Source organism: Homo sapiens, chromosome 4 (genome assembly GCF_000001405.40).
Source record: "Homo sapiens chromosome 4, GRCh38.p14 Primary Assembly".
Lineage (NCBI taxonomy): Eukaryota > Metazoa > Chordata > Mammalia > Primates > Hominidae > Homo > Homo sapiens.
The window spans coordinates 105,333,786-105,353,469 of NC_000004.12; the positions used below are offsets into that span (position 1 = coordinate 105,333,786).

The window sequence follows — 19,684 nt, forward strand, 5'->3', positions numbered from 1 at the left end:
GTTACCAATTCATATAAGGACAACTTGTGTACTAATTGAGAATGAAACTACTACAAAACTAGAGGTAGAAATATCCTTCACATAATTGGTGTTCCCCATTTTTAATGCACTAGGGAGTAAACAAAAGTCTAACCACATTTCCAATTTCTCCCTATCACCACTTCCAAGCGTTCCAGTGTTGTGAAACTTCTGGACCATATAAATCATATACTATACATGTCTCTAAAGTGCCTGGATTAACAGTCATATTTAACTTTATTAGTTGAAGCTCTGGCACCTACTCCCGTGATTCCAACAAATCTTTTGAGAAAAAGTGAAGTCTTTTTTTTTTTTAAATCATTCCATTCATTTTTTCAACCCTTAGAAATCCTGCATGGTGGCTCATGCCTATAGTCCCAGCACTTTGGGAGGCCAAGGCAGGCAGATCGCTTGAGCCCAGGAGTTTGAGGCCAAGGCAGGCAGATCGCTTGAGCCCAGGAGTTTGAGGCCAAGGCAGGCAGATTGCTTGAGCCCAGGAGTTCAAGACCGGCCTGGGCAACATGGTGAAACCTCATCTTTACTAAAAATACAAAAAAATTAGCCAGGCAAGGTGGCATGTACCTGTAGTTCCAGCTACTTGTGAGGCTGAGGGAGAAGATCACCTGAGTTCAGGAAGCCGAGGCTGCAGTGAGCCATGATCACCACTGCACTACAGTCTGGGTGGCAGGAGTGAGACCCTGTCTCAAAAAGAAAGAAAAAAAGTAAAAGAAATCTCACAAAGATGCTCAATCTCTCAAAAATTACCAACTTCTACTTTCATGGCCCATATTGAGAAGACTGACATAAGAAATTTTGGGTACAATCAAGATGGAACATTATCAAGCTTGGGGAAGCACTGATTTCATGTTTCTTCTTTTCCCACCTGCTAACACACATACCTATGTTCGCTGTCTTTGCATCACGCCTCATTTGGCTGGTGAACCATTCCTACTCAAATGAACCCACCACTGTCTTGTTACTTGTCATGTCCTCTTTTAGTTTTTCTTAGTAGGAGGCCCTGCTTGTTTTATTTCTTCTCTGTAAACATCTTGCGTTTTCCCCCTTGGTGTTTCTCCAGCCCACTTTTGTATCCTTATTTGTATCCTCAATGTGATCGACATCTTCCATATTCCATGATGTCCAGGAAAATGAACTAGACTGAGACTGAAGGCACATGTATCAATCCCAGCTCTGCCACCAGTTGTATGATCTTATCCCTTACTTTTCTCATCTGTACAATGATGAAGGGTTGAAACAGGTGATCTCCAAAAGCCTTCCTTCTTAATTTCTGTAACTTTATAACATTTCTTCCAAAAGGAAAAAGCTTTTTAAAATATTTCTCCCATGACTATGTCTTATCTTTGTATCTCCAGTACTTCATACTGAATATTCGGAGGATGCCTAATAAACATCTGTTAAATGAGCCTATCACCCCTGGCACTGATTTGTGGCATGAGCTTCGGTAATGTTACATTTCATTATCACCAGTGCAACAAAATGGAAAAATGTACATTCTCCATAATTCCAGGTGGCAGAGGTGAGCAGAATAACCTGAAAAGACTATCCTCCGTAAAATAAGTCAAACTGATGAACTCTACCATATTTTCAACAGGTCTGCAGATCATGGAAGGGTTTTGTGTCAGAGGCATGGGCATTTAGAAGGTGGCAGAGTCTAAAGGTGCAGGCAAATGTTGGAAGACTGTGATGTCATCTCTTCCTACAACCCTTCACATTTTCAATAACATTACCAAATTCACAAAATCATTGACTGGACTTTCATGGAAAATGACATAGTGAACGTCTTCACGTTGGCTGGTGTAGGCTGGATTGTAATGGTATCAACATGCTAAGATTGACGATGATTAGAGGTGACCATAAGAAAATGGAATTGGGAAGTCATAGAAGTTATGTGGTGAATTCACATACACAAAAAGTGGCATATTCAGCACTATTCACAATAACAAAGATAGGGGATCAACCCAAGTGTCCATCAATGAATGAATGAAGGAAATGTGTTATATATACACACAATGCAACACTACTCAGACATAAAAAACGAATGAGTTGTCATTTGCAGCAACATGGATGGAACTGGGGGTTATTAAGTGTAATAAGCCAGGCACAGAAAGACAGATTTCTCATTTTCTTACTCATATGGGAGCTTACAAACTTGATCCCATGGATGTAGAAAGTAGGGTAATAGATATCAGGGTCTGGGGAGGATATATGGGTGGGAGGGGTGATGAAGAGAGTTTGGTCAATGAGTACAACATACAATGAGATAGAAGGTGCAAGTTCTGACATTCCATCGCAGAGCAGGGTGACTAAAGTTAGCAACAACATACTGTATATTTCAGTCTCTAGAAGAGAGAACTTGAAATGTTTACAACACAAATAAGTGATAGATATCCCAAATACCCTGACGTAATCATTGCGCATTCTATACATGCCACAAGAAAACCTAGCATATTGAGAATTTGAGCCCAAGTCACCTAAACCTTCAAGAAACTGAAATCCCAAGTGACATCTAGGTTACATGTCTCATTCCTTGCCAACAACTAGGGCCACAAATGCATAACTGGACTATTATAAATGTGATAAAATAAAAGAAATTAATATATCAAAGTTACATGGAAATGGTAGGATGCTATAATTAGGCCAACACCAATTATAATGGAAATACTTCCTTTGAATAAGGCAGGATGTTTAGTGATACAGCTCATAAAAAAACAAGCCTTTGGGCTGGGCACAGTGGCTCGCGTCTGCAATCCCAGAACTTTAGAAGGCCAAGGCGGGTGGATTACCTGAGGTCAGGAGTTCAAGACCAGCCAGACCAACATGGTGAAACCCCATCTCTAATAAATACAAAAAATTAGCCAGGCGTGGTGGGGCATGCCTGTAATCCCAGCTACTTGGGAGGCTGAGGCAGGAGAATAGCTTGAACCTGGGAGGCAGAGGTTGCAGTGAGCTGAGATTGCACTCCAGCCTGGGCAACAAGAGTGAAACTCCATTTCAAGCAAACAAACAAAAAACAAACAAAACCCACAAGCCTTCTCTGTGTACTAACTAAAAAAAAAAATTTGCCTTAACAGGATGTGCAAGACTGCCTTTGCTTTTATACCTACTCCAAAGTACTAACTATGATTAAAAAAGAAATTATCTCTGGATCTCATAACAATCATAACAGTAGCTGAAATGTGACAAACCAGAAAGGTAAAGAAAAATGGAGTTATACTGAGGTTAGCTTCAAGAGGCACTTCCTTTTTTCCCTAAAATGAAAACTTTATTTTTTTTTTGCTTGACCATAAAAGACACATATGTTTACTGTAGAAAGTCAATATTCTGGTGTCTCTCTCTTCCTCTTATAAGGATACAAATCCTATCAGATCAGGGCCCCAAGCTTTTGACCTCATGTAACCTTAATTACCTACTTAAAGGCCTTGTCTCCAAATACAGTAAAAATCTCAGGTGCTTTCCAGCTCTTGATGCACATTTTCACGAACAATTTATGATTGTGCCCATTATCCCTTGCAAATCAAGTATTCTCTACCTCCTCCCACATCAGACTGATAGTTTTAGTTTTTTTTTTAAATGTTGAGATGGAGTTTCGCTCTTGTTGCCCAGGCTGGAGTGCAATGGCACAATCTTGGCTTACTGCAACCTCCGCCTCCCAGGTTCAAGTGATTCTCCTGCCTCAGCCTCCGAGTAGCAGGGATTACAGACACCTGCCACCACACCTGGCTAATTTTTTGTATTTTTAGTCGAGATAGGGTGTCACCATGTTGGCCAGGCTGGTCTGAAACTCCTGATCCACTGCTTCGGCCTCCCAAAGTGCTGGGATTATAGGTGTGAGCCATCGTGCCCAGCCTGATAGTTTTTAAAACAATAGAATCTTGTTTTTATAAATGTTTATGTCACATTGGGGGCTAGACCAAATTTTGGATGGACATGATTCAGTTCACAACACCTTCCCATAAACATTTCAGATATTTAAATTCATGTCAATATAGACCTACATGATCATTTTAATGGTTTCCTAATATTCTCTTGTATGGATATACCATCATTTAAAAAGACACATGTATTTCTAAATTTTAATATTCTAAATAATGCTGCAATGCAAATATATTTATGCCTATGTGCACTTACGTTTGTACCCTATTCTAATAATTTCCTTGTAGCATATTCCAGGTAAAGAGTCACCTTGTCCCTTTGGGCTTAGGAAATTGGCCTAAGAAGATGTTGCTATTCTGGCTATTGCTGTTGTTGTGAGTAATAAAGTTTTTGTCTCTGGCCCAGGCATCCATGAAACTGTTATGGCCTAACCTGTTGGCTGTGCCAGGAATGTAAAAATCTCAGGTGCTTTCCAGCTCTTGACATACATTTTAAAATCCAACAATTTATTACAGTGTCCTTTATCCTTTGCAGATAAGGGATTATCTACCTCCTCCCTTATTAGGCTGATTGCTTAGGAAAAAAAAATCAATAGAATCTTGTTGTATTTACAACTTTTTGTTTTTTGGCCATTCCTATAGCTTTTTTTGTAAACATCGATTTTTCTATTGTGTATTTTCTGTACAAAATTTAACATTTTTTTCTATATTAGAAATATTGGCATTTTGTCTGCTAGATATTGACTTTTTTTCAACCTAAGTATGTGTTTTATTTTTCTAAAGTCAAATATAAAAATATTTTGCTTTGTGAGATTTTTGTCTCGATGTCATGTCTTCTCCCCTTTAAAATGAGTGCATAGTGACATATCTTTGCAGATATTCAGGTGGGCCATCAATTGGCAGGAAGAGTACACCTGCACCCCCCTCTTCCTAATTGAGTTATCCAATTTGGTTGACGTAAGGTAGCTGAGCAAACGTTTCATACCTCAGTGTAGCTTTCTTTGCCTACACCTCAATATGCCAGTGGCAGGGGCTTGTGGCCCAGCAACACTATCCTGTCCACTCTGGGGCTTCCCTGTGCTACACCACAACCCTTTATACTTGGAACTTACATCCCAATTCCAAAAGGCTTATACAAACAGTTGCTGAACTTAAAATCCCACTTCTGTTTATCAAGACCTGGCTCTCCTGAACCAAATTCAGTCTGCCCATGTCTTCACCCCTTTTACTCCTCTTTTGCAGACTTCAAGCTATTATCATACTTTACTTGTCCAAAAAATTTTAGAGTCATTTCGCAAATATTCCCTCATCTCACTCCCAAGCTCAATACCAGTAGAATCTTCAATGGGATTGCATTAAATATGCCATTTAATTTGAAAAGCATTGATGCCTGAATCCACAGCATATTCCCATACATTCTTGCAAGAATCTTTTCATAGCCCTCATATGTCTTTTTCATATTATCCTACATGTTTATTGGTAAGTTTCATCTGTATTTTTTATTGTTATTTATTTTTTCCTACTGTATAACCAGTTAGTATATGTAAAAACCATTGACTTTAATATCTTATAGCCAGCCATTTAACTTAATTTTATTGGCACTAATAGTTTTCCAGGTGATTATTTGCAAATAATAGATAGCTGTAGTCCATTTCTGTAGTGGCATTTAGGGTAGCCAGATGAAATAGGACCAAAAATTGTTTGCTCAGGTAAACTGATAAGTTTTTAGTATGAGTTTTTTCTATGCAATACTTTAGAGTACTATTACTAAAAAATTGTTGTTCATCTGAAACTCAAGTTTAACTAAGTGCCTTGTATTTTTATTTGGTAAATCTGGCAAGTTTGGTTGTGGTGCTAGCACTACAAGAATTGTGCCAAATAATGATGATAGCATTGCCGTACTATTTCTGTTTTACTAGAAATGACTCTACAGTGTTTCTCTGTCAAGTATGTTAATAGCTCCTAATTTTAGTTATAAGTTCAACAGGACCAGAGACCACTCACAAGTTTGTAAGCACAGTCCCAGCACCATGCCCGATATACAGTATATGTTTAAAAGATATTGACTGGATAAGTGATAAATATGCTTTACCATGTTAGCAAAGTTTAAGAAAGAAATTGTATAGTTGGCTGGGCATGGTGGCTCACGCCTATAATCCCAGCACTTTGGGAGGCCGAGGTGGGTGGACCACGAGGTCAGGAATTTGATACCAGCCTGACCAATATGGTGAAACCCCGTCTCTACTAAAAATACAGAAATTAGCTGGGCATGGTGGTGCGCACCTGTAGTCCCAGCTACTCGGAAGGCTGGGGCAGCAGAATCGCTTGAACCTGGGAGGCAGAGGTTGCAGTGAGCTGAGATGGCACCACTCCAGTTCCATCCATGTTGCTGCAAATGACACCTCATTCATTTTTTATGGCTGAGTAGTGTTGCATTGTGTGTATATATAACACATTTCCTTCATTCATTCATTGATGGACACTTGGGTTGATCCCCTATCTTTGTTATTGTGAATAGTGCTGAATATGCCACTTTTTGTGTATGTGAATTCACCACATAACTTCTATGACTTCCCAATTCCATTTTCTTATGGTCACCTCTAATCATCGTCAATCTTAGCATGTTGATACCATTACAATCCAGCCTACACCAGCCAACGTGAAGACGTTCACTATGTCATTTTCCATGAAAGTCCAGTCAATGATTTTGTGAATTTGGTAATGTTATTGAAAATGTGAAGGGTTGTAGGAAGAGATGACATCACAGTCTTCCAACATTTGCCTGCACCTTTAGACTCTGCCACCTTCTAAATGCCCATGCCTCTGACACAAAACCTTTCCATGATCTGCAGACCCATTGAAAATGTGGTAGAGTTCTGTCAGTTTGAATTCTTTTATGGAGGATATTCTTTTCAGGTTATTCTGCTCACCTCTGCCACCTGGAATTGCACTCCAGCCTGGGCGACAGAGCAAGCCTCCATCTAAAAAAAAAAAAATAAATTGTATAGCTTACATTGTATTGTTTTGTGAAACTATATAGAAATGTGTAGCTCAAGTGGCAAGTAAGATAAGAATGCATAAGCAGATATGAAATAACCGTATAAGAAGTTAATAGCAACTAAGAGTTTAGATTCAGAGCCATACTGCCTAGGTTCACATCTTACCTCCATTTTACTGACTTGCCTGATTGTGGGCAAGTTTCCTGAGTCCTAGTTTGCACATCTGTGAAACAAGAAGAATGACAGTATCTACCTCATAGGGTTATTATAAGAATTAACTGGGAAAATTCATGGTAAATAATCAGCACAGTACCCGGCATGGAGCATTTTCATAAGTGATATCTATTAGAAATTATATCTACTATTGAACATTCAGCAAGGACTAAGTACTGTTCTACATATTTTACTTATACTATCTCATTCAAAATAATATCACTCTTCACTTTTGTTTGCCCTGTTTCAGAGAATGACACTAAGAAAATAGCTGAACTTTTTCAGAAGTGTTTAAATTGGTAATACAAAACTCTCAAAAAATAAGCCAGTGATGCTTAAATTGTAACCCTGGGACCAGCGGCCTCAGCATTACCAGACATTGATTTTCTATTGCTGCTGTAACAAATGACCACAAATTAAGTAAGACTTAACATAACACAAATTTGTTACCTCACAGTTTTTGTAGATCAGAAGTCTGAACCCAGCTTGGTTTTCTGCTTAGTGTTTTTACAAGGCCAAAATCAAGGTTTCAGCAGAGCTGCACTGCTTTCCAGAAGCTCTGGGGATGAATCCACTTTGGATCATTCAGGGTATCAGAAGCCAGTTCCATATAGGACCAAGGTCCCTGTTTCTTTGAGCCATTGGGGGTCATTCTCAGTTTCTAGGGGCCAACCACATTCCTTGGCTCACAGCTCCTTCCTCCCTCTTCAAAGCTAGCAAGGACAGACTGAATGTTTCTCATGCCCCAAATGGCTCCGACCTCTCCTTCCGCCTCGCCTCTCCTGTTTGCCTCGTCTGCTTTCAAGGGCTCATTGGATTACATTGGCAATCTGGGCTAATCTCCCTATTTTATGGTCAGTTGATTAGTAACATTGATTCCCTCTGCAAAGTCCCTCCACAGCAGCATCTAGATTGCTGCTTAAATAACCAGGGGATGGGATTCCTTGGTGAGGCATCTTTAGAATTGTTCCTTTCACACCTGAGAATTTTTGGAAATTCAAATTCTCTTGCCCCATCCCAGACTTGCTGAATCAGGAACTCCAGAGGAAGGCCCAAAAACCTGTGTTTTAATGTAATTCAGCTGAGTCTGATTCGTGCACACCACAGTTTGAGAACCATTGAAATAGTGGACGGGTTGGGGCATGCCGTTTGATTTCAAAACTTAAAGCTAAGCCAAGGATATCTGTTCTTAATTTTAAAGGAAATCTCTGAGAGGAACTCACTTTAATAAATTATTTTATAATACATGACTATATTAATTACATTATATTAACCATTACTGATTTGTTTTATTCAGTGGTGATAGATTTCAGTTTAATTTTTAACTGATGCCAATGAAAATTTTGCTTCCTCAAAGAAAAAACGTTTTTTATATCTACCTTCTTGAAAAAGAGGCTAATTTAAGGGGAAAGTTTTGCAATCATGGAGGAGAACATGTAATTAAGAGCACCTGAGAAAATCCATAAAACAGCCTAGACACTCCTTCAATCCTGGTTAGTTAGAGGTAGCCGAGAAGGATTTTCCAGGTGCCACTCATCTCTTATCATTCACCTCCTTGCGTAGCTTTTTTGCGTCGCGTTTTTTGACTTTCAACACTCACATGAGAGTCGACTGATACAGAAGAAAGGGACTACAAGGGACCAAAGAGGACAGAAGACAAAACTGGCTCTAGAAAACAAGTCTTTAGAGTTAGTTGCTAAACTGGCCAGCTTGTGTACACATAGTTTGCAAATGAAGGCTAGCGAGGAATAATTTCCTGACTAAATTATTTTAAACACAACTTTTAATGCTACGTAACTATACTACATGCTTTAGAGATGTTTTAAAATGAAAGAAGAATAAAGTGGCATAAGACCTCTTTGCAAATGAAATGGCAAAAGATTGACATAGCTGCTCTAGCCCATAATGTCATATACCTACCCAACTTGTAATGAACCATCTTCAAATACATTGCCTATTGTTTTTAAAATTGGGGGATGTGCAATCACAGCTACACAGTAAACCTGACATATGAATCTGATAATTTTTTAAGTTCATTTTATACTCCTTGAAAAATCTATCAAAACCTCAGAGGGCTATGGGCATATGATTGATTCTTTTATCATATCTCCCTCCTTGGGATCCAGATTCTAGATCAAGCTCAAAAGCCATCACAATGCTAGCCTTCTAAGTCCACAAATTTAATTGAACTAGCCTATGTTTTGTTAGTTTTTAAACATTTTCTTAGAAGGATTAGACTACGAAAACTGTTTAAAAATATGATAAAGGAGAGGGCTCCCTTCAATGTGTTTTAAAATATATCTCCACTTAAGCAACCTCACTGTTAAACTTGTCACTTGAGGGGGAGATTAGTTTAGAATAAGACAAAATGGTCTTTCTTGCTAACCTTTTCTTCTCCCTTGTGTATTTCTGAGCGGAAACTGTTACAATTCTATTTCAAGCTTAAAAAAAAAATGTCTTACAAAGGCTCACCCTCAGCCCCTTGGCATTAGACCTGGTTTATCACTTTCCCCTGCAGACATTTACACAAGAGTATTAATGTGGCATGTCAGTAAATTGAGACTCTCAGAGTTAAGGGTTAATCAAAATAATTTAGGTGATAGCAGTTAACTCTCTGGAGAATCTGAGACCTGAGGCCTCATCAGAAGCTGGCTGCACAGGAGATGGAAAAAAATGTAAAAGCCAGGGCTCTTTCAGTAGAAATCTCCAGGTCTCAGCTGGCACACAGGCTCAATTATCGGCTTTTAGCTTGGTGAAAAGTCAAGCATCCCCAGGACCCTGCTGCTCCAGGCATTTTATTGGCTCATTAAATATAGGATTTTGTTTTTCAGCCCCAGCCAAACGTGATATGCTATCCAAACAGAAAGTATGATGAGAGCTGGAATAGCTAACACATGCGCTTCCTTTACCCCTTCTCTGCGCTTCTCTCATCCCACCCCGCCCCCTATGCACTTTATTACAAGCACAAAATTCCTACAGAAAGAAACAGTGAGAGGCTTCACTGCAGAGACTGTTCGTAAGAACTCCGACCTCATTCAGTTACTCGAAAGTATGTTCTCAGCATGTGTGTTAGATTAATTCAACTAGAAATGTTTTTGCCCCAAAGAGCTCACAAAGTAGAAGATGACAATGAAGAAATGAGACCCAGAAGACTTTAATACTAGATAAACATCAGTTAATCATGCTAAAATGTTCCAAAGTCAGAAGCCATCAATGAGCATGAGAAATCTTTGGAAAACTGCTTAATAAGATCAGGAAAAGTGGAGAGGAGTTTTTGCTTCCTTTACTCATTGAAATGAAGAATAACTTATCCCCTAGATTGACCTCCTATGTAAAAAATATTCAGATTATTTTGGAATAGGGACCTGTTCTACACATGCATAGGAACTGACTTTTAATGGTTAAAATAAGTCCAATACAGTGGAAGTGGAGAAGACAATTTCTGGATACAATCCAGCAGACCCCAGAGCTTCCTGCTACTCTGAACAAACAGACACATTACTTTTTTCTCTTTTAGAAGTAAGCAGTTTACAAGAACTGCAGAGATATATCTTGAAACAATCTGCCACACCATTTGCCACACACATAATCCTCCTAGATTAATTTTTAAAAAATGAATGTTGATATAACCAATATGAGTGACATGGTAGTAAAATAAAATGCATTCATGTGTGGCTGCTGACATCCTAAAGTAATAACACCCCTAAAAGATAAAACCCTAAGAGCAACCCGAAAATATGTGTTATAAACCAAAAATATGTTTATACCTTTTGACTGAGGAATGCCAGCTTGAGGATTTATCCCAAAATAAATAAATGAATAGAAGAAAAAGTCACATACTTAATTTATGTAAAAAAAAAAAAAAGTATTGGGCTCTATATTGGCCCTATGCAAAATACTTATTTAGCAAAGAGACAAATAAGGAATTGAAGACAATTTCTTATTTGTCTCTTTGCTAAATTACAAATTTACAAATTACAAACTACCTAGTGGGAGAAAATAGGAGCATAAATAATCACGATGTGATGTAATAAGCACATCATCTGAGATATATGCTAGGTTCAGCAGTAACACAGGAGGTGGGAGAAGAACTAAAGGGACATTTATTCAACATACATTGTAGAGCACCTCCTAAGGGCTGTGCTAGGCTCTGAGACTAAGAAGCAAGGCAGATTGCCCCTGTGCTCATGATGCCCATGGTGGTCTAGTGACTCCAGATGAAAAGGGTAGCACATGCCCATAAGAGATGAAATAGCCTAGTATATTTGAGGAACTGGATGTAATAAGGTATTTCTGGAGCATAGAGTTAAGGGTTAGGGTTAGAGGGAGTGAAAAGGGAAGCAAAGCCAGGCTGTGGGGAACTTGAACGCACAAAAAGGTGTTTAGACTTTACCCTATGTTTGATGTAGCTTCACTGAAGGATTTGTAGAGGAATGACAGTCAGATCTGCATTTTGAAAGATGATTCTGTTACCAGCATAACATGAGTTGGGTTAGGGTGGATGTGAGCAGTGAGATTAGTGTCAGTGAGACCAAATGAGAGTCTACTGGTCTAGTCCAGACGAGAAGCCAAAAAAGCTTGAACTAGGTGAGTGCCAGAGAGTACAGAGAGAAGAGAAGCAATTCAAACAATCTGGTACAGCTGGCCTTTGATCTTCACAAGAGATTTGTCCTTGCAAACCCCCTATCTGATGACCATGGAAGTGTTTATAGAAGGGCCTGGCTTTCTCTCAAACAACTTTCCATTGCCACTTAGAGATTCCTTTCCTGTACCTGTCTTGATACCATCAGTTAAATGACTATTAATTTTTCATCGTATCTTTCTGTTTCACTTGAGCAGTTTTTGCACTCAAACTGGAATGACCATTGAAGTGCTTTTGCAATGACGAAGTTGGTTATTATGATGCTCATCTAAACCACTGCCAAATATGACATTTCACTTCAATTTATCCAAATGATTTTCTTAGTCTGCATTCTCTTTCTTTTCACCTCTGCCATAAGCAACAAGTAATAAGTTCTTTATAGAATTGTGTTTCATAAGAAATAAAGTTTTGTTTTTGTCACTGTATATGCTAGGACAAGTAAGGAACCACAGAGTTGAATATGGAGGCAGGATGGGTTTCTATGACAGCTAGAAGCAGTGACTCACTTCTGTACCTTAGCTATACATCATCCTACATTAAATACTGCCTCAGGATGTAATGAAGTAATGCATATAAGGTAGTTAATATTATATCTAGTATACCGGAAGCATTCAAAAAATGTTAGTAATATAGTGAAATTTAATGCAGGTATCGAATTGTTTTTTTTTAATTTAATGGATATGAACTCTCTACCTCAGGCCAAAAAATTTTACATACAATTTCAGAATACATACAAAGGTATGAAAATAAGCATTATGTAGGTATTACTGCATATGCTAAAAACTAACACACATATGCACACACACACACACATATATACACGCTAGTACATGAGAAAACCAAAGACCATTAAGTTAAAAAAGAGCAAAGTGAAAACACATAAATTGCATTATCTTGTGTAAAAATTTTTATAAATCTAGAGCTAGACAGGAGGAATAAGTTCTAGTGTTCTATACCACTGTATGATGACTATGGCTAACAATACTATGTTACATAGGTTCAAAATAGCTAATAAAGGATATTGAATGTTCCCAACACAAAGAAATGGTAAATGTTTGAAATGATGAATATGCTAATTACACTTATCTAATCACTTTACATTATATATATCACATCACTATGTACCCCATAAATATATACAATTAGTATGTGTCAATTAAAAAGATTTTCTCTTAGGAAAATAACAAATTTTTACAACTTTTAGAATATCTCTGTATTTTCAGAATAAAGTAATGAAAAATTTCACAATTATTCTGGGAAAAATATTCATGTGCTGTTTTCAGGATAACATGATTCATATCATCTGACATTTTGGGGGTCTTTTGCTGGCAATAAAAGTTCACATGCTGAGAGTGGCTAAGCACGCTGCAAAGTGATTTCTCAGTTGCTATTGAGGTGTTTTAAGGTTCATTCCCTGTAAACACACGAATTTCTAGAGTGTTGTTTTTTTTAAACCTCTCAAGAGTTTACATGTCTGTAAAATGTCACTTAATGTCACTGGGATTCATGCAAATTGAAGCTTTTACCTCTGCTATAAAAATAAAGGTTGTCACCTACAATGAAAAATGTGAATGTGTCATCTCTCTGAGGTGCTGCTTCACCAGACCCAAGGCATCAGAGCAGTGTTCCCTATACTAAAGAAAAAGAGACAGATTTGAAACTTTCCCCAGTAAGACAAAGATAGTCTGGGGGCAAGACTTCCTTGAGATACATTTAGCATAAGTGCGAGTTGTAAGGCTAGGGCCTTGCGATTGAAAATATGGTCTTCTAACCATCAGCAGCATCATCAGCATCATTGACCCCTGTCAGAAATACAGAATCTCAGGCCCTACCCCAGGCCAAGTGAATCAGAATCTGCATTTTAACAAGATTGACAGTGATTTGGAAGCACATTAAGGTTTGAGGAGATCTCAGCTTAAATCAGTGGCTGGTATGGGCACTATCATTAACATTGTTTCTCATTAAACAACTTCATATATTTATTTTTCTATAAATTGTTTTTATTATTTACATTACTAAGTACTATATGGCTATTTTATTTTAACTACTTGAACATATACTTCAAAATGCTGTGTTTTCCTATGGAAAACTAATGTGTCTATTTTTTAAATGACCCACTTTCAGGAAACTAACCATGACTTAAATTGAGACAGAAAAAAAATACTGTAATAGGTGGACTTTAAAGGTAGCCCAAGAATACTGCAAATTACAAAGTCAAAAATTTACTAGGAGGTAGAATTGACATGTCCTAATGAAACTGCAGGCTGGATGCAGTGGCTCATGCCTCTAATCCCTGCACTTTGGGAGGCCAACGCTGGTGGATCACTTAAGATCAGGAGTTCATGACCAGCCTGGCCAACATGGTGAAACCCCGTTTATACTAAAAATACAAAAATTAGCCTGGCATTGTGGTGGGCAGCTGTAATCCCAGCTACTCGGGAGGCTGAGGCGGGAGAATCGCTTGAACCCGGGAGGTGGAGGTTGCGGTGAGCCAAGGTGGTGCCATTGCACTCCAGCCTGGGTGACAGAGTGAGAATCTGTCTCAAAAAAAAAGAAAGAAGAAAGAAGGAAGGGGAAGGGACGGAGAGAGAGAGAGAGAAAGAAAAAAGAAAGAGAGAGAGAAAGAAACTGCATGTGGAGACAAGACAACTGTGAGAGGAATTGCTAAGAATAACTCTGGGCTTTCCGGTCTTGGTAAGTGGATGAAGGCTGAAGCCCCATTCACCAATGGAAGACGCGTGGTTTTGGTAGGAAAAACCATAAGTCCAATTTTTGGACATGCTGATGCCTGTGGATTTTCCAGATGGAAAAGTCTGAAAGGTAGCTGGATACATGGGTGAGGCTCAGGAAAGATGGTTGCATTGATAAAACAGTGGGCCTCTTATGCAAGGCCCAGAGCAGGCTCCTCCAGTATCTGCAGTAAAGCCATTACCTTCACTCTCTCTTGACCCAACCCTAACCGTTTAACAGGAGCACTTCTGATGTCCATATCCACAATGCCCATGCAATTCTGAGACCTCAGTGAGACTTGATGCATCCACCATGAAACCATAGTTATCTTTACTCCCCCGCAGGGAGGGCCCTCTAGGTACAGTCTTATCAAGCTCATCTGGGGCAATTTCAGGAAGTCTGTACCAAAGCGGACTGGATCCCAGAAGGAAGAATACAGATGCCTGATATTATTCTAAACCAGGCGGAAGACTGGGTTTCTTCCCCAAATTCTCCAGCCTATAACCATAAGTTGCCATAGCCAATTCACTAACATATGCAAGAAGGTACATTTCCCCTCAGAACCTGTGCATCATGGTTTTCTATGAGACATTTCCTGACAACTGCATTGGTGCCCTTGCTTCTAAAATAAATATTGATTTTAGACTAAAGTAGAACTTAGACCCAAAGGGTAAAGACTGGAAAGCTGCAAGTGAGAAAAGAAGGAAATATATTAGGTAATGTCTCCCACAAGTATATCACTTAAAAACATTTCAGAGAGAAGCTAACTTTTTTGCTTTTATATTTTTGTTCTTAAAACTTGACAGTTAAGCAAGAGAAGACATTTTTAAAATTTGGTACATTAATAAATTCAAATCAACAAAAGAGAAACTACTCAGTGTGAGTGAATTTTTTAATTTTTTCAAAAAGTTACCTACAATATCAATTATAGAACTTAGGTTTATTGAGATAATTTTGCTTTTATAGACAGCACCACCTCTAAACACCACAACTGCTGCAGATGCAGCAGAAAAGCTGCATTATACCCATTTTATAAAATTTCATTACTTAAAGAGGATATTTAAAATCTAAAAACTGACAGTCCAATTCAAGCAGGATTGAAACTGCCTATCTTCGGTAGTAGCATGCGTTTTAGCTAAGCTTGTCCATTGGGAGACTGCCTGCTTCTTTCTGCCTGGGAGAGATACTTTCTCATAGCCAGAGCAGAGGTGCTTGTTAAGAGTAATATTTCAGGCTGGGCGTGGTGGCTCACGCCTGTAATCCCAACAGTTTGGAAGGCTGAGGAGGGTGGATCATTTGAGGTCAAGAGTTCAGGATCAGCCTGGCCAACATGGTGAGACCCAGTCTCAACTAAAAATACAAAAATTAGCCAGGAGTGGTGGCACACACTTGTAATCTCAGCTACTCGGGAGTCTGAGGCAGGAGGATTGCTTGAACCCGGGAGGCGGAGGTTGCAGTGAGCCAAGATCATGCCACTGCACTCCAGCCTGGGCAACAGTGAAAGACTCCATATCAAAAAAAAAAAAAAAAAAAAAGAAAAAGAGTAAATAAAATTTCAATGTTAAAGCAAGGAGCTTTCATTTGTGCCCTGTCTTGCCTCTGATGCAGATGTAAGCATTCTCCAGGTTGGAGAACCTGAGCACATCAGCTGCTGGTACGCCTCCTTCTCAGAGTGACCACTTTGGACAAGAAAATAATTGTTCATAGGTATGACATGACTAATGTTTCTATGAGCTTCTTTCTCTGATGACAGGTGCAGCAAAATATGGTTTCAAAGATTAAGCCAATGAGATTTTTTGGCCTTTGTCCATCAGCCCCGTTATTTCACAGACTATTTTAGAGCTATGTATCAGGTAGACACTATTCTAGATGCTTCACATACATTATCTCATTTGATCCTCATACTGTTCCTAGCAAGTCAAGTTTCAATTTAGAGATGGGTATCACTTTTTCTTTATTCCCACCTTATCATCACATTCCAGGAAGGGGTAGACCTTCATATGACAAGACCCTGATCCACCAGGTCACAGTTGACTAGACCAGAGGTTGACACCTGATATCAAGTAAACTGTGCTAATCAAATTTATATCTGTAGGAATTTGCAGCTGGATATATAAAATATTAAAACCAATAAATGCTGTAATAGGCTATATTTGATCCATTTGTAAGTCTTTAGAGCGAATAAAAAACGATGTAGAGACAAAAGACCATTTGGCTCTAAGACAAACTCACTCAGTACTCACTGATGCCTATGTTTCAATTCCTAGATTGACTTGTTTCTGAGGCCTACCGCATTTCATGTCCTTGGGGGTTCATAAGGCACCCTGTATCTTTACAATTATTTCTCCTTTCTTCTTAAATTACCTTGAATAGATAAGGTCATCTACTGAATACATTCAGTACAACCCAATGGTCTCTAAGAGACTATCCTTATCTTTGTTTTATAGATGAGGAAACATACTCAGAGAGTTTAAGCAAGTTACCCGAGATCATGCAGATAGGAAAAAGTGGAATTCAAGCCCAAATCTACATGACTCCAAAATTTGTGCCTTTCACCACTAGATTAATTTAGATCCAAAAATTTTAATGTACCTTGCTGTTTGTTAAAGCTGTCTAAATCTAAGCTAGAGGCTTTATGATTTACAGAAGTTATTGCCATGTCTTCTTAGAGTTTAATACTCAAAACAACTGCTCATTGTAAACAGACAGACATAGAGTATCCATATTTTCATCTACATCATTAAGTCTAGGGAAGTGAAACTTCCTGCTTTCTAGCTGAGTTGGCCTCCTTTCAAGGACTCCAGATCTAATTGCTTTTGCAGAACATGTATATTTCCAATACGTTAGACTCATCTGCTCCCAAGGAAAAATTTGACTTTTTTCTGGTCAATTTGCTATGCACAATTTGTCATCACTAGACCATTCCTATTGTTTATCTTTATGGATGGTTTCCCAGATGAAATTGACATATATTTTTTTCTCTTTCTAACTAGCCACAAGGCTAGAGTTACTCATGTAACTCTTCAACAGCTCAGCTCTGGAGTTTAGCTATTAGCCTTTCTTTATGGAGAAAAAAACCCCACTTAAGCAATCCTATTACCATATCTGAGCTGTTTTGGTTTTTGTCCTGGGATGTGGGGCCTCACCACTCTATCATCCTACATAACTGCTTAGCTTACAAGAATCTGGACTTGGGCCACTCTGATTCAATGATTATGAGAATGGTTTAGGTTAAGACGTTTTTATTGTATTTCAAGCAAAAAACCATCACTTGCTGTAAATCCACCAATTTTGGTTACTTTAAATTTGTTATACCCATAACATTATAACATCAACAGGAATTAGTAAAAATCATCCAGATGTCCATCACTCCAAGAAATCACCTTCATTAGTTTTCCTGTATTATTTTGTGTTCTGTTTGTATACATGTATACATTTTACCTAGTTTTAATCATAACAGATGGCACTTTTAGTTAGCTTTCCTTCATATAATTTGTCAGGAATCACTTTTTTGAACTGCTAATTCTTTTAAATTATTGTTTGAGTAGCCACATTCAACCATGTCAGATGTTAAACTTTTAGTGTTTCTTGTTACTTCTTTAAACAATGCTAAATCTGGTAACCTAGCCTTTGAGGTGACAAGCTCATGCTTATACCCCCTCATCATGAGTGTTGACAACCATTGGCCACATGTAAGCAAAAACTAAACTGGCAGCAGGAGAGCTCATCCCAGGATGTTGCCAGTTTTTCATTTGCCTGGCATGGGATCAGTATGCACCCATCTCTTTCTTGGCAGTAATCTAGGCAGATTTGGAAGGTTTTCATCATACTTAACTTGGGGTTCAAAAGCAACGACAACAAAAAAGCAGCTAGAGATCACTGCAACAACACATTTCATACTGAGGGCAATACGGGTCAGTAGGTGACATGCAGTACAAATTGAAACTAGTGTTTTCTATAAGCACTCAAAGTTGTATGCCTCTATCTTCTCTCCAAATAGGTCCCAAATATGTTACAGAAAAATCTAGGATGGCATTTTCCTCCTTTGACCACAGCTGAGACTCAGAGGGACTTGAGGTCTTTCTGGTACTATTAGTGAACATCTTTGAATTTTTCTCCTCTGGACCCTCAGTCAGTGCTTCTAGAACTGTGTGCCTCTTTTGGCTACTGTAAAAGGCACGGTGATTTAAGCCTGGAGAAATGTAAATCTGGGCAACCAACAACCTCCCGTCTATCCTTCAAACACATATACACACACTTTTACACATATCGGTTCATTTTCTTATCAAACACAAATACATGGAACAACACAGTAACAAGAAAAGCAAAGAGACCGGGGGTAGATAAGAGGTAACCTACATTTCCTAAGGTATTTATACTGACCATCCCTCAGCCTTACCTTTACAGGGGGATTCTCTCTTAAGTCAGGTTGCAGTGTTTAAAACGCTATGCAATTTGCTACTGTGTTACTCAGTTTCCAAAAGCCACAATCTACTCAATTCACCTGTTCTGAATCTTTCTTGATTCTCAAAGAAGCCTGTCTCTGAAGAGCTCCATCCTTCTGGGTCACACTTCCTTCTGATATGGGGCCTCTCTCTTCTGTGAAGGTCTCTATTCCAGTCTTCCTGAAGCAGCCCGATGTACCCTTCTTTCTCTGCCTTTTCAAATGGCCACAGTGATGTCACTCTCAGCTGTTTCTAAGCTGGTTCCTAACCTCAAGACTAAGGGAATGACTCAGCTGGAATCAGTAACCTTGTCTTTAAAAGGTCAGACTATTTTGAACCACCACCACCACCATAGACTTAATGCAGTCAACCCGTTTAACAGACAGGTATAAATTAAATACGGGCATACTAAACATGTGTTCTGAGTAAAAGAGACTTATAAAAGATGGAACATTGTTTGCCAAGATTCAAAAAAGTTTTAACTTTGAAATTTCATTACAGTTAGTCTGTTGAGAATGGTAGACAATTTTAAAGCTACTAGTGAACTCCCAAAACTCAATTCGGCAGGCTTTCCTCTGACCTCATCTTCCTTGACCACTAGGCCTTAGAGTCCAAAGGCTGGAGGGGCCGAAGTTCTGATGTCCAAAAGAAGGAGATGAAGTGTGTCCAGCTCCAGGAGAGAGAGGAGAGGAAAGAGAGAGAGAGACTAGCATTTGATACAATTGTCCCTCTAACCTTCCGTTC

At 38.7% G+C, this 19,684-nt stretch overlaps 1 long non-coding RNA gene across 1 annotated transcript in view; it reads right to left on the reverse strand.

The window, feature by feature from the left end:
- TET2-AS1 (TET2 antisense RNA 1) overlaps positions 1-19,096 on the reverse strand; it is a 181,528-nt gene extending 162,432 nt beyond the window's left edge. The window contains exons 1-2 of the long non-coding RNA NR_126420.1: positions 18,895-19,096; positions 601-716 (exon numbers count right to left, since the gene is read on the reverse strand). This is a non-coding gene — a long non-coding RNA (TET2 antisense RNA 1). The remainder of the gene's footprint in view (positions 1-600; positions 717-18,894) is intronic.
- Positions 19,097-19,684: the final 588 nt, after the last annotated feature.